The sequence below is a fragment of the Homo sapiens genome, chromosome 8 (assembly GCF_000001405.40).
Source record: "Homo sapiens chromosome 8, GRCh38.p14 Primary Assembly".
Classification (NCBI taxonomy): domain Eukaryota; kingdom Metazoa; phylum Chordata; class Mammalia; order Primates; family Hominidae; genus Homo; species Homo sapiens.
In genome coordinates, this window is record NC_000008.11 from 75,482,090 (window position 1) to 75,498,780 (window position 16,691).

Consider the following 16,691-nt stretch of genomic DNA (forward strand, 5'->3'; position numbering starts at 1 on the left):
TGTGAAGTGGATCATCCTCAAATTTAAAATCTTTTGGTCTCACCCTCAGAATATCCCCTACTTGAGGCTTTGCAGTGTAAATGCCTTCCTGAATAAAAATGAGATTAAGGAATATTTCACAGTTCCTTAAGCAGCAGAAAGATTAGCTAGTTGCCTAGAAAAAATTAAAAATCTCATCTGGAAATTTGGGAGGATTTTAATGGGACCTCCTTGTATTGATCTTGAAAGATATAGTTTGTATTAAAAGCCTCTCTTCTCCTCTCCCCTCCCCTCCCCTCCCTTCTGCTCCATTTTTAGAAGGAGTCTCTCTCTGTTACCCAGGCTGGAAGTGCAGTGGCACAATCTTTGCTCACTGCAACCTCCGCCTCCCAGGTTCAAGCGACTCTCCTGCCTCAGCCTCCCGAGTAGCTGGGACTACAGGCTTGCACCACCATGCTCAGCTAATTTTTGTATCTTTTTATAGAGATGGGGTTTCACCATGTTGCCCAGGCTGGTCTTGAACTCCTGACCTCAGGTGACCTGCCTGCCTTGGCCTCCCAAAGTGCTGGGATTACAGGTGTGAGCCACCGCCCCCCGGCTGGTTTTTGTTTTGTTTTGTTTTGGATACTTTCCTGATCGCCTTTTGATGTTTGTCACTAGAACACTGACAAGTTTATATTCTTTTAAATACCACTTGCTGGTCGTCATGCTTGCTTTTTCTTTATTAAGAATATGTTTGAATTTTAACCTGTAAACACAAAATTTGACACAGTCATATCTTGATTCTGTATCTAACAGCAGTAGTGTTTATAACATATTTACACCATTGTTTCATTATTGTTGGCTGAAGTAATTCCTAGTTAACTTTTCATTTTCTGGTTAAAATTGTAATCTAATTCCGTGTTCTGTTTATCACTAAATAACAGAGTAATCAGTAGTGACTGAATATTAGGAGGGACAATTGAACACTTTTAAACTCAATGACATGTGAACTGAACATGCGCAGGTATCATAAAACAAAGTTTGAAATGATTTGTTTATAACAAAACAATAGCTCTTTAATGAGGAAATGGACAACAGCATGTTATGTTTTGCTAAAATAAATATAAAATGGATTATATTTCTAAAAATGATGAATGTTGCTATATTAAAATATTTATTCATTTATTTCAAATAAGTCACTTAATTTTTTTTTTAAATTTTATCTTAATAAATTAGTCAAGGGATGGTTACTTTCTCTTTTCAATGCAAATGTAATTCCTTAAGTGGTTTTCATGGCCCAGGGCATGACTGCATTTCTCTGCATCTTTTCTCTTTAACAGGGCTATTAACATTAAGCAAGCAAAAGTGTTCTCTTGTTAAAAAGGAACAGTCCACCCATTCCACCCAGAGAAGTTCCCTCTGGTGCTCGGCCCCTCCCTGCACTCAGGTCTGCAGTGAGGCCATTTCTTTTCTCAGCTTTTGTTACACTGCCCCCTGCATCTCACCAAGTGGACTCGCAGTCTAAATTGTTAAGGTTTCTCATATTTTTTCCTCCCTAAAACGTAAACATACCATTGGTGCAACTCTTCCTTGAAGCTTAATGTCGTGTATTTAATGCTGGACTTAGGTAAATGAAAGGTCCGCTCTCTTAAAACTGAGAGAAATTATTCATTTAAATAGGATGTATATAATACTTTAAAAACTGTGTATCTAATATCTCTTAAAATTTATTATAATAACACTTATTAAGGATTAGACAAGGTGATACCTTAGCAAGTGTTATTAGTTACAGTTTCTTAGATATATTATCTCTGTATTGATATGTCTCGATCAATAATAAACAGCACTGATATAACTGACCTTTTAGTACAGTTTGCTATACACATGGACACTTTCACATAAAATACTTCATGAATTATCACAACTTTATTATTAGTAGTATTACAGATTCAAAAGTAAAGTTAAGGAATATTCAAGTTAGGGAAGCCAAGTAGATGGCTGCTTTTCAGAACGTAAATTTTTATTGTTTTAATGAAAGAAAATATGGCAAAATTGGCAATATATTTTCCTTTTGACCCAACGTGTCATTAAGAAGAATTCTAAGTAAATTAGAATGTTTAGCTCAGCATTTCTTTAAATAGAAATTGTTAGAAATGAATCACATGACTAAATAGGAGAATGGCTAAGTATAGTGTGGTACATCTTCATGATGAGCAATAAACAGTCATTACGAATCATGTTTTCAGTAAAATGGAAAATGGAAAATGGAAAAAAGCTCTCTGGTTAATAATAATTGAAAAGAGTGATATTTAGAAATGTATAGTCCTTCTGATTGCAATTGTGGAAACAACCTTTGAGTTCTGAGCCAGAGTACTCCAGTGCACAAGGCTTCTGCCCATCTCAAGGGCCTCCCTGGAATTCTCCTGGCCATCCTCTTTGCCTGGCTACTTCTTCAGGTTCCAGCTTAAGTGTTTCTTTCTCAGGAAAGCCTTTGCTGATCTGCAGGACCACTTCAGCCACATTATGTTCCCCAGTTACATGTTCTCACAAAACTCTAATTTTCCTTCATGGTATATATTATGATTATAATTAATCACCTTGTGGTATCTTTCAAATGTCTGTCCTCCCCAATAGACTATCAGCTTCACTGAAGCAGTAACTGTGTCCTTGTTTACTCAATGCCTGCCCCAGTGACTGGGACATAGAATGAGCTCAGTAAACATTTGTTGAGGAAATGAACAAATGAGTGAATTGCAAGGCACTCTCTGAGCACTTTTGACATAATTTCATTGAGACTCCACCAAAAACTTATGAAGTAGAAACCATATTTATTACATTTTATGGATAAGGAAACTAAATTGTAAAGGAAGAAAATTGGCCAGAGTTATACAGTAGGCGGACAGCTCCAATGTAAACCTGACGTCTCTGAATGTTGTGCACAAGCTCTTAGCCGCCAATTGTAAGTGGTTGTACTGAATGTAACTAAGATAACTATATTTAAATGGTCAACTTTGTAGGTCAAATATGCAGAAATATTACAAATCTTTATATTAATTTGTTAATAAATTTATAAACATGTTAAATTCTGAAGAAAATATATAAAAATGGAAATGGTGGTAGAATTGCACTGGTTCTTATTTTTTTCACACAATTCTACATTTCACAAATTCCCTATACCAAGTACTTATCATTTTCTATAAAAAGGAAGAAAACCATTAAAGCATGTTGGAGCTAGGTTTCAAGTGTGAATATTTTGACATCAAATTCCAAAGAGTTTCCACTCATCAAAAGAGAAAAGTTGATCACTATCTTGTGAATTGGCACACAATTTGCAATTAATTTTTCTGAACAATTTAACCCAAAATCAATGTCATAAATATATTTTAATAATGTTCAATGTAAAATTCTATGTAAAAAACTGCAGAATAAGTAGCTACATTAAGCCTATACCATAGAAACTGTTAATTAAAGTTTTGAGCTGATTGAATATATTTCTTTCTATGTATAGCTTTTATGCTTTTTGACATTTTCCTATCACTAATACTGATTAGCAATCAAATGTATACCATCCAGTTTTAAAGATACCTAATTTATTTATTTCAAACTTCAATATTTAAGATAAACTTGCCTTTCAAAAATTAATTTTGTTCCTCAAACTCACCAAAGTAAAACATAATTTAAAATCTATCTCTATAGATTTCCTCTTATACTTTTTATTTTGGTTTTTCTTCCAGTGATTGCTGCCTTGACCGTCCCTGCTCTTGAAGTAAGTACAAATGAGCAAGGACCCTGAAAAACTCTGGGCTCAGATTGCCCTAGTTTGTTAGATAATTTTGATGGTACAGGGGCATGTATTTTGAGATACAGCATTTGGTAGTCTTTGGAGTTAAGTCATACTGCCGACACAGATTCTACTGGCTGTTGCAGACACTAGCTTCCCTACTAGGTCTGCTCTAGCTGCCAACCATATCCTTCATCCAAAGCATCAGATGTGAGCCCTGAATGATTATATAGGGCCCAGTTTTATTCAGGCCTTAATGCCAGACTTACAGATGAATGAATGACTGAATGAATTACAGTCCCTGCCTTAACTGGATTCTTAATTTCTAGCTCTTCTTTCTTGACCATCACATTTGACTTCTTGACCTTAACCTTACAAATGAAACTAGCTGTCCTTCCTAAGGACATTGTCCCTACGATCAGCCTTGGCCAAATAATTTTCCCTTAAGTTTTCTGCATGTCTTAAAGTATAAGTCTCCATTGTCCCTCTTATAGAGACCTCAACATGCTTTCTGGTTGAACCTTAGCAGTACCTTTTGTTATATTTTAATAACCAGATTTGAGTAACTTGATTTGGCCATCTTTCTTTTTCCTTCATTGATCATATACATGTTGAATCTGTGTTATGTACAAAGTAGTAAGCTAAGCCCTTAGGAAGAAAATAAGATACCTATAAACAATAGTCCTTGCCTAAGAGTATTTCACACTTTAGTTAAATTAGTAATAATTACTATAGTTCTTTTGTAGAAACCAATTTCAGTTCATCTGTACCTTTGTAGATGGAAGCTGACCAAATTCAGGCAAAAAACAAACAAACAAAAATTTTCTATGCTGAAAGTTTATAGTTGATTTTGGAATTTCACTTTCTAAAAGTGAATTTAAAAACTGAGTAGCCAGGCATGGTGGCTCATGCCTGTAATCCCAGCGCTTCGGGAGGTTGAGCCGGGAGGATCTCTTGACCCCAGGAGTTTGAGACCACCCGGGCAACAGAGCAAGACCCCATCTCTACAAAAAATAAAAAATTAGCTGGGTGTGGTGGCATGTGCCTGTGGTCTCAGCAATGCGGGAAGCTGAGGCAGGAGGATCACTTGAGCCTGGGAGATCGAGGCGGCAGTGAGCCGCCATGATCACACCACTTGCACTCCAGCATGTGCGACAGAGCGAGACCCTGTCTAAAAAAAAATGATAAGAAAAAACTAGGTAATGTTAAATCCCACTTACTTCAACAATTTAAAAATTGGCAAATATTAAAAACCCAGTTTTTTACTCATTTCTGAATAATATAAATGCTTTAAAACTCATTTTGACAACCTTTATATTCCACTATAACAGTATTTACCTTGGGACAGGCTCCTTTTGCCAACTTGCAGACAGGTTTTTCTTTTACATGTAATTGTATGTGTAGATCAGCGATTCTTATATTTTTTTATTTTATTTATTTATTTGTTTTTAAGTTTAACATGCCGTTGGCTCTAGAAGCTGCCATGTTTAAGAATTTCGGGATAGACACATATTTGATCTTTTATATTTGTTATTTGGTTTGTACACGTAATATCACTGATCTGCTCAACAAATCTTTAATGGCTTCCAATCATTCATGTAAACAAATCTGAAATTTTCTGTCTAGCTCTCTCCAAACCCTCCATAAAATAGTCCCACTCTTACTATCCAATCACACTTCTCACATATCCTTTCAAACACTAATTATTTGCCTTTCTTTGACCCAAAAGTCTTCTTTTCTTTTGCCTACCAATCAAAATTTATCTATCCTTTAAAGCCCAGCTTAGACCCAGTTTCATGATCACTCCAGTTCTCAATTATGAATTTTCCTCTGAATTTCAGGACTAACTAGAATTAGAATAATTTCTTTTCTCACTTGTTCATGCTAATTAAGATGATCATTATTTCCCTCCACAAAGATTGACTCCTTGTATTAGGTCATTCTCACACTGCTATAAGGACATACCTGAAACTGGGTAATTTATAAAAGAAAGAGATTTGACTCACAGTTCCTCAAGGCTGGGGAGGCCTCAGGAAACTCACAATCATGGTGGAAGGGGAAGCAAACACGGCCTTCTTCACTTGGCAGCAGCAAGGAGAAGTGCCAAGCAAAAGGGGAAAAGCCCCTTATAAAACCATCAGATCTCTTGAGAACTCACTCACTATCACGAGAATAGCATGAGGGTAACCATCCCTATGATTCAATTACCTCCCACCAGATCCCTCCCATGACATGTGGGGATTATGAAAACTACAATTCAAAATGAGATTTGGGTGGGGACACAGACAAACCATATCACTCCTTGAGGGTAGGAACCATGCTTTATATTTTTCTTTATGTCTTTGGACTCCAGAAACAAGGGCCACTTATTAGGGAGTTTAGAAATCACTGTTGTTAAATGTAATTTGACAAAATTGGTCATTGGACTTTTTTTGTTTTGTTTTGTTTTACTTTGTTTTTGAGATGGAGTCTCACTGTGTTGCCCAGGGTGGAGTGCGGTGGCGTGTTCTTGGCTCACTGCAACCTTTGCCTCCCAGGATCAAGCAATTCTTCTGCCTCAGCCTCCTGAGTTGCCGGGACTACAGGCGTGTGCCACCATGCCTGGCTATTTTTTTTTTGTATTTTTAGTAGAGACAGGGTTTCATCATGTTGGCCAGGTTGGTCTTGAACTTCTGACCTCAAGTGATCTGCCCACCTCAGCTTCCCAAAGTGCTGGGATTACAGGCATGAGCCACTATGCCCGGCCTCATTGGACGTTTTGGACAATAAGCTTAGAACAATACAATCTTTCTTAGGACTTTAAAGCATTAGAGACTTTAGGGATTAATATAGCAAATTCTTCATTTTACAGATGAGAGAACTGCGATTTACACAGGGACAGTATGGATCAGCCATTCTTAGTAGCCTTTATCTCAGTATCTTTGATAGCCTTTCTCATTCTATTTCCTCAAATTTAAAAAATGAATATAAGGAGTGTGATGTTTTCTGTCTATTAAAAAGTATGAAAAGGCACTGTTTCATCCTCGGTTTGGTCAGAAAAGCAGAAAACACTTCAGGAGTTTGAAGTAGGAGGGATTTAATTCCAGGAACAAAATGCTCACAAAACTAATGGAAGACCTGGAGAAATAGAATTCAGGAAAGACCACTGTTAGCTTTTAGGCTCACCGCTCACTTTGGTGAGTCAAGAAGCTCCCAGCACTGATCAAAGAAAAGGCCTCCAATATGGAGGTGGCTGAATTCCAGAAAAATAACCCAGAAGCCACAATAGCATCTCATATTTGTTGGAGCCACGCATATATTCACCTGCAGTTACTGGAGGAATGGTAAAGGTCCTGCCTTTCTTCCACCTTCCAAATTTTACCTGAGTGCTTCTAAATGGCAGAATCTGTGCTGTGAAGGAAACTTATTTTTAAATGTATTAGCATCTTAGTTCTTTATCTCAATGGTTTGATGCCTTTCAATTTAAGGGCAAATATTCCTACACATGTCAATATCTCACAAATTATTTATCTGCTCTAACACTAAACAGTAATTGATGTTTATAATAATGGAATTATTAATGCTGGAAGAGACCAGAGATAAACTGAACCTCATCTTCTCATTTAAAAAACTGAAGTCACATAGCAATGGTGTTGAAGAGCCAACCTTTTTGACCTACCTCCATGGCTCAGATGGAGTGTTTTCCTGTTATACTTGTATCTGAATTTGCCTACTGCTTTATAGTTACATTCAATTGAACTCTATAACTTTCTGATTTAATAAGGATTTAAACTACCTAATTATTTAGTGCTAAGACCATGGTTGAGTTTTATAAGACACTTCAAAAAATTGTACATGGGGTCATACACACAGGTGCAAACTAAAAGGGAGTTTAGATTGCTCATTGCTCTTCCAAGGTGAAATCACCATTTTATCTGATGACTTACAAATGAAAAATCTGGCCAATAAATCTATTTAGTCAGATTTCTCAACATTGTGAATGATCCTCCTGGTAGCCAGATATTATGTCTATCATGACATGACCGCTTATTTCATGTTGACTTGTTGTTCTGTGTGGAACTTCCTGTGGCACTAGAGTTTTCTTAAGTATAAACCATTCCAAAATCACATTGTTATTATGGGTTGCTTTGTCCTCAGGCTCTGTAGGACTCCTTTTGGGCTATTGGTCTTTCAACATGCAGTTAGGGGATAAAAGTAAATCATTTAATCTATGCAGCATGTCACTCAATAGTATACTTTTGGAAATTGTTTCCACAGGAGCACCAGCGAAAGCAGCCAGTCTGAGATATTGACACTACAGAAAAAACTGACAGCTTACTCCTTGTATTGATTCTACTCTTCTCTACAAATATAGACTCCGTTCCCTACCACAGCCTTGTAAGTGGTGCCCGCTGAGGCTGCTAAATTGCTTTGTAAATTATTTATTACTTGGACACCTTGTAAAGACCTCTTTTCTTCTTGTCTGACTTGCTTGTGCTTTCGTATATACTAAAAGGTCTCAAAGTGTACACTGACCACAACCTCCTTATGAAATCCTTTCCTTCCTATCTTTTATTGCAAATATGATCTTCCTTGCCCATATTATGACTATGCCTTTTGTCATTGGTTTTTATTTCTGATCTATTGCTTATAAAATATCATAAATGTTTATATGCACGTTTGGAGCCTGGCACTGGGCACTTAATTAGCATATTCTCAAATTAGAAAGTTTGAAGTATTTAAAGAACATTTATTTAATGATGGGAAAGAGTTTCTATTAATAAAAACTGTTTATCAGAGCAAATGCACATCTTTATTTGCACTTATGTGGTAGAGTCAATGTTCTGAAAAAGATGGCAAGTGTTTTCTCTCTTTTCTTGATTATTTCTTCTTACTTAGGTTTTATTTTGTGATTTTCTGAAGAATTTTTAAAATGTTCATAATGTAGATAATGAAAACAATATTTTTTGTCCAGTAAACAAAACAATTTGAGCAGATTGCGATTGTTCACTTTTAGCTAACTGAAACCATATACTCACATATAAAATACTCAATAGAAAACGTCTTCGCTTAATAATTTGCATTTTCCTGTCTCCCTCTCTTAGCTTCCTATATTAGTCAGCTCAGCACTAGTATAAATTTGGTGATTTAGGTCCAGAGTTATTTCAGTGCCTCTTATAGTTTGGAAATCCAAGAAGCTACTCCTCTCATCCATCCCTCAAAATTCATTAGTTTGTGTTTGGAAAGTACAGGATTTTCAATCTTGTCTCTGCCATTTATGAGTTCTATGACTTTAAGCAAGTAAATTAGCCCTCATAAACATCAACTTCTACTATGAAATGAAGTAGTAATAATAATAGTAATAACATCTATCCCAAGGATTATTGGAAGAATAAATGTGGTATATTTGGAGTGTTAGAACGGGCATATATTAGGTATCAGTGATGTTTGCAACATGTTACTGATACAAAATTTTTTTACTTGAAGATTTACTTTTATGATAATTATATTTTATACAATACCAATAAATACATGTTGAGAATAAAAAATGTAGTGAGTAATTATACACTAAAATCATAGTATCTTATAGGCAATTTTTTTAGGTCATAGAAATTTGAGAAGCACAAAAACACACTTCTAAAATCACTATAATTCTTTTTCTTTTCTTTCCTTTTTTTTTTTAAGACAGGATCTGGCTCTGTTGCCCAGGCTGGAGTGTAGTGGTGCGATCTCCGCTCACTGCAACCTCTGCCTCCTGGGGATTCAAGCAATTCTCGTGCCTCAGCCTCCCAAGTAGCGGGATTACAGGCACATGCCACCACAGCCAGCTAATTTTTGTATTTTTAGTAAAGAAGGAGTTTCTTCATGTTGGCCAGGCTGGTCTCAAATACCTGACCTCGGGTGATCCATCCGTCTTGGCCTCCCAAAGTGCTAAGATTACAGGCGTGAGCCACCGCGTCAGGCCAGATCACTGTAATTCTCATTGAAATGGGAAATGCAAGTCGCTTAGAGGACTAAGGATTAGACCATGAAGACTTATAAGCAGAAGAGTCCAGCTATGTCTAGACAGGCCACTGTGGTTAAGAGATGGGCACACAAAGAACAATGCTTGCCCCAAACAAGTGGTTTTAGACAGTGAGGCCCTTAGCCATAAGCTTGAAATCTGTTTCAATAATATCCTCTCCAGGCCAGGTTTACTCCAGAGCTGTGCTGGTTTTCTTGTAGACTGCTTTGTGCCAGCACATATTGCTATGACTTCATTTCATTTTTTCCTTACATACTGAAGGTAATCGCTTTTAAGATGAGTTTTCTACACCTGTTTTCATACTCAATTCCTGGCTTGAAATGCTTGTTTCTTTACATTATTCCAATGTTTCAAGGCCCAGTTCAAATGCCACCGCCCCACACTGATCTAGTCACTCTTACTACTACCTACTTGTTTCCTCCTCTTCTAAATCCTTTCAGTTTTGATAGTATGCATTACCCTAAGTAGTGTCTGAGATCAGATAGAGTGCTCTCTGGTTTAATAACTGTTTAATGTAAAACTATTCAGCTAGAAACCTGTAGGAGAGGGAAGAATCTTAATGAAAGATTAAAGGAGAAGCCAAAGGCTGGTTAAAGCAGAGTATTTTCAGATAAAATGCACAGTCTAAGCACCAGATGGGAGCATTATTGTGACCCCCCTATGTTTGCACATTTCACATATGTGTCCCATTCTCACCAATAATGATGGCCTTCACCACAACTTCTTTGTAGATTACATAACACTTGCACATAATTTATCTCATTTATTCCTCAAAGCAATTTTATGAGATGGGTCTCTTTATCCTCATTTTGTAGAGAAGAACCAAAGCCTAGAGGGGGTTACAATGATTTGTCCTGAGTCACACTGAAGTCCATTACTTTTATTTTCTATCCATCCCAGCTGACCTTACACAGTGGCTCATCCTACCCTCACAGAAACCACTCAAGGAAGGCCAGAAAGATATTTCTGGCTTTGAATTATAAGCAAGGAGGCTGATTTCTCCTGAGAAAAAGTGAAAGAAAAACTTCTCATCCAAGCACTCTCTGCCTTTTCCCTTTTTGGAGCAGGGAGAGTGCAGTTCTCTGAACAATAAGATTGGTTTGACACAAAAAACAAGTGGAAGTCTGCACATGACTTTGTGCAAGAAATGCATGAGGGAACAGAGTTGGAATATGACTGAAATATATATATATATATATACACTCACACACATAAATATGTATGTAGTCATATACATATGAATCATAAAATGCTTAAATATGTGTAAAAATATGTATTGAAAACATGTAGATCTACCTTATTTTATATATATTTAGTAAAATTTGGGAAGAAGGGAAAATCTCATCATTGGAGTGGACCAAATTTGTGTTAAACAATTTTAGAAAAGACAGCAAGGTATATATCTGGAGGGAAAGGAACTATTAGACTGAACTGTACTGAGTAGATTGAGTTTCATGTCCTGGGAAGAAATGGAGGCTGGTTGGACACATGCTTCCCCATCCTGAAGAGTGCTTAGAAAAAGGCGTGCTTTCTTTCTCACAGAATGAATCATTGAGGCAAAAGCTATAAAGGTATATACAGCAAAATAGCTTTGCCAAATGTTTATACCATGGATATTTCCAACAAAAGTGTAAGAGATTGTCCATTTGACTGCATTCTTATCAATACTTGGTATTGTAATTGAAAAATAATAAAATGCTAGTTGGAAAAGTTAAAAAAAATTGTTTATAATGTTAAGTTTAGTATGAAAATTTTCTATATATTTGTTTACTAATTGCATTTCTTTTTTTAAAAAAGTATATTTTTAAATTTTCTGTTTTATCTATTTTTACAATAGTGTTTTAAAATCAACTTATGTAAGCTTCATAGTGTTTTTTACCTGTTTAAACAATGTTTGATAAGCATATATAATTCCTACTGATGATGATATATAACAATTAGAAAACTTTTTTGCTGAACTTGTTAATTTTATTAAGCCTGATTATGTTTTAATTGTTATTCTTTTTCAAAAAAAATGTTTAAAAATTTGTCCCAAGCAATTGGGGGTACATTTTCTTTAATTTTCTCTGTTGTTACATTTTCCACTGAAAGCAAATTTGCAGACATATACATCAATGCCAAATAATAGAATCTACCCTCCATATATTAATATTTTTCCAATGTGATATCTCTGAGCAGCATTGTATTGCTATTTCAAATAGTAATAGTATATATTAGGAAAGCTGAATGATTATAAACTTACAGTTCATTCACAAAATTTACTAAGTTCATACTTTGTCGAAACAATTGTAGAGAAATCAAAGTTGTCTAAAACATCAAACCTTCCTGCAAAGAGAAGACAGTTAATGAGATTATAAACATGTATTCAATACATTCACAAGCAGCATGAAATAAATGACAATAAAATTAGACAAAGTGTTATTTTTACACAGAGTAAGGAAAAAAGCTACTGCTCTCCCATACAGCACACACACACACACACACACACACACACACACACACACACACACACACAGGTTGACAATACACAAGGAGACCAAGAAAAAATCATGTGATAGATACGTGAAAATTTAAGTCATTTTTATTGCCTGAAATAATGAGATGAACATTAATAAGGTCTTTTATTACAGTTGCATAAATTGGGCTTTAATTTGTGACCATTGAGAATTCTGCTCCAGACTAAGGATTAAATTTGTTTTTATTGAACGTAATAAATAAAGATTACACATTAAAATATTATGAATCATGTGCATTTAGAAACAATCTTATCAAGGACCAGTATTGTGGTTTATTAGTTCTTGAAATTATCGCCTAGATTACTGCCTTGAACATAATAAGTGGTCATTATTTTTTTTTGAATGAATGAATGGTGGCAAAATGTAGTATTTGAAAGGATTAACTTTTAGATAATACTAGTAATAGCATATGTAGAAATAAACATGCACTAAAATTATACATTTTATACAATTATAATTATACAATTATAGAAAAATATATTTATTTAACAATAAACATCTCTACTTTAAAAAGGTAACAAAAACAGTGTTTATTTAAATTGACTTTGAATTATGACCTGCTATCTATAAGCAAGGTGATGTTTTTGGTGTTAAGGAAACTATATAGTTTCATAGTTTGGTCTCCATCAATTAGTAAGTGTAAGTGATGCCAGTAGTACACTGGTATATCTTATCAAATAACAAAACACTGAAGACAGAATAAGATGAATATGATAGGAGAGAAAAAATGGCAGAGATTTTGGAACACAATGACTTTTGCTTATTCTATTTATGCTTTTGCAACTGATTCACAGACTATGTTCCTAAAACTTAAACTAGTATCCTCCTACTCTTCTCATTGTGTCATCTTTGAAATCACCAACAATGGTATTTCGTATCATGCAGAGTCATATAGAAAACTTTAATACAGGTGTAATATCTCTGAAGTTTCCATGTTTAATATCCCCATGTGATGGCATTCACTATTATCACATTTTCTATAGATGTTAAGGATGGGAAGTTATTATTATATTAAAGAAGACTTTGGATTACTAACTTGTAATGTTTCTGTAGGCCTCAGAATTCACTGTGCTGAGGAGCTAACAGGATCCTGACATTTAATTGTCTCTGCCTGAGCATTCTGTCAACTTTGGAACTTGTATGAGGCAAGTGTGATAACATACATAAAGACAGAACACTTCTAATTTTTTTTTTTTTTTTTTTTAAATACAGAGTCTCCTCTGTCACCCAGGCTGGAGCGCAGTGGTGCGATCTTGGTTCACTGCAGCCTCAACCTCCCGAGTTCATGCAATTCTTGTGCCTCAGCATCCCAAGTAGATGAGCCCACAGGCCCGTCCCACCAGGCCTGGCTAATTTTTGTAGTTTTAGTAGAGACGAAATTTCACCATGTTGGCCAGTCTGGTCTCGAACTCCTGGCCTCAAGTGATCTGCCCGCCTTGGCACTTTTAATTTTGTATAATAAAATATTTGATACAAACATACACACTACATATGCAGTATAAAGAATAATACTGAAATAGGTACAATATAGCCCTTACCTTAATAAAGAAATGGAACAATATCAATATTTCTATATTATTTTGTCCCTATTATTGATCAATTATTTATTCTCTCCCTCTTCAACAAAGTCTTTAAATTTTGTGAGCTACTGTATTATAGTTATGAGCAGGTACTACTAATATCTAATAATTGAATGACAAAATATCTATGGGAAAAAAGTAATATCAAAACTAATATTTTAAAATCTGTTACTTCTTTAAAAGTAGTGTATATTTAAATCCAATTTTAATATAAGTAATATGCAAAAAATTTGAGAGATCCAGGAGATCCAGAAAATTATTCTGCAAGAAGAGTAAACAAAATTTACCGTAAAATGTACTTCTTAAAGATAATTGGTTTTTAAAAAATACTATTCTAGTCACGGTTATCCTTTATTCTTTTTTTCTTGTCATGAGCTTTTCCTGATACCTACTGGCAGGGTTCTAGCAGCTTCCTGAATATATCTTAATATAATATATTTTTTTTCAACTCAGTGGATGTTACATTAACTTCATGGCACTGGAGGTCTTTTTGTTTATTTTTCCTGAGTCTGTCAAACCTTAACTGCTCACTCAAAAGCTTGACGTTACCAGTTTTTCTCAGGGCATTTTCAAACTCCTAGTTATTTTAAACAGCCACCAGAATTCTCCATCTCACAACTTTCAGAGGGGATTTACTCCAAAATCTTGGATTTCTTAATCTTGCATCTCTTCTTACCACTTAATTTATTAAAAAAAGAATCTCTCTACAAAGCTCAAGAACATAACTGGTTGTCATGAAGGAGCTCCTATAATATTTGGTTTTTATTCCATGAAAATTAATAAGACTATAACCAGACAAGTGGAGAAAAAGACATAGAAAACATAGAAGCATATATAGAAATTATAACGAAGCAGCATCAAATACATTATTACTATATATATATATATATGGCATTAAAATATGTAAAGATAGGTTGTGCTATGTCTCTGATGACTGTCTAAAGTTTTGTGACTATGAGAAATGCAGTTTTTGGAAAAATGAAGAGCAGCAGTGTCTACTAGATTTAGAAACATTATCTTAACAACAAAATGCAAATTTTGTTGCAGAAAAGATATTTCCTCAGTTCCAATGCCCTATGATTCAGAAAAACCTAGTTGAGTAGGGGCTACAGCCCTTGGCTTGTTTCTCACTAGCTTTGATGGGGGTATATAAATGCTGTGTAGATGAGAAGGGCTTGAGGACTAAGAACCAAACAGGGTTGTGTATTATCTCTGTTTTAAAACAAAGTCTGTTTTCTCTATTGGCAGAAAAGGTGGGTGTTTGTGTTCGTGTTTGTGTTTTTGGGTCATTAAAATACATTTAATTTTGTCAAGCAGAGGACACCACATCTGATTCCTTGTAAAAGGAAGTCATAACTGCTGGACACATAGAGACCAGGAGAGGGCTAGGTACTGCAGAGAAATTAAAAGAGGTATAAAGTACAATATATAATACACCTAATAATGTATTGAAGAAAAGGTAAAATGGTTTTGGCTAGGCACGGTGGCTCACGCCTGTAATCCCAACACTTTGGGAGGCCGAGGCGGGCAGATCACGAGGTCAGGAGTTCGAGGTCAGTGTGGCCAACATGGTGAAACCCCGTCTCTACTAAAAATACAAAAATTAGCAGGGTGTGGTGGCAGGCGCCTGTAATCCCAGCTACTCGGGAGGCTGAGGCAGGAGAATTGCTTGAACCCAGGAGGCGGAGGTTGCAGTGAGCCAAAATCATGCCACCGCACTCCAGCCTGGGTGACAAAGCAAGACTCCATTTCCACCCCCTCAAAAAAAAAAAATAGATAAAATGGTTTCATGTAGCTGCTGAAGACGAGCAAATCATTATAAGATTCCTAGAATTTTTTTTAATTAAAAGAACATTCTTATGCTATAATATGGTAAGTCAGTTTAGAAACTAAACTTAAATTGCATTTAATATTATCCTGTCTTTGATTTTGTTGTAAAATGTTTCAAAAAATGTATAAACACTACACAAAATTAATTGGAATATGATTAATATAGTATACATATTAATAGAGACCCTACTGAAATTTTTAAAATAAATTTGAAGTATTCATACCACAGGCAAATGCTAGGACATTTGGGACACTTAGAATTTTTAAGTTCCACCATAGAATCCCTGTCGGCACACAAGACAAAAAAAAGATATGCTTAATGCAAGAGATACATATATTCTTATTTCAGCAACATTATATATAAATCAAATTTCTCTAAATAAATAATATTTTTCTAATTATGTCTCTTCATTTTGAGGTATATTATTCAAAGCCCATATCCAATTTTTGGGTCTTCTATTAACTTGTTTGAAGTTAACAAGGAACAAAAAAGCAATGAAAGTCCACTAGGAACAGTAAAGTTTCATAACAAATTTGATAACTTAGATGAAATGGACAAATTTCTAGGAAGACACAAAGTATCAAATCTGACTCAAGTAAAAATAGCAACTCTGAATAGGCTTATAATATGTAAGATAATTAAATTAGTGATCAAAAACATTCCCGCAAAACAAGTCCAGGATTATATGACTTCACTGGTGAATTCGAGCAAGTATTTAAAGACAAATTGTCACAAATCCTTTGAAAACACTTCCAAAAATTGAAAAGAAGGAAACACAACTTATTATATGAGGCCAATATTACCCTGATAACAAAACCAGATGAAGATATCAAAAGAAAAAAAATTGACAGACCAGCAATCTTATGAATATAAGTGCAAAAAATCCTCAACAAAATACTGTACTAGCAAGCCAAATACAACAACAGAAAAAAAGGATTATCTATCATAATCAAGTGGGCTTTATCTCACAAATGAAAGGGTGGTTCAACATTAAAAAATCAATGCACACTAAAAGAAT

The 16,691-nt window shown here is 35.1% G+C and overlaps 1 protein-coding gene across 8 annotated transcripts in view; it reads left to right on the forward strand.

The window, feature by feature from the left end:
* HNF4G (hepatocyte nuclear factor 4 gamma) overlaps positions 1 to 16,691 on the forward strand; it is a 159,186-nt gene that overhangs the window by 74,441 nt on the left and 68,054 nt on the right. For 6 of the 8 annotated variants that reach the window (XM_017013373.2, NM_001330561.2, XM_017013375.2 and 3 more), the window contains 2 exons: positions 3,696 to 3,727; positions 8,000 to 8,119. The gene's annotated coding sequence lies outside the window, so the exon portion shown is untranslated. The remainder of the gene's footprint in view (positions 1 to 3,695; positions 3,728 to 7,999; positions 8,120 to 16,691) is intronic. The other 2 variants (XM_017013374.2, XM_017013376.3) reach the window with 1 other exon arrangement.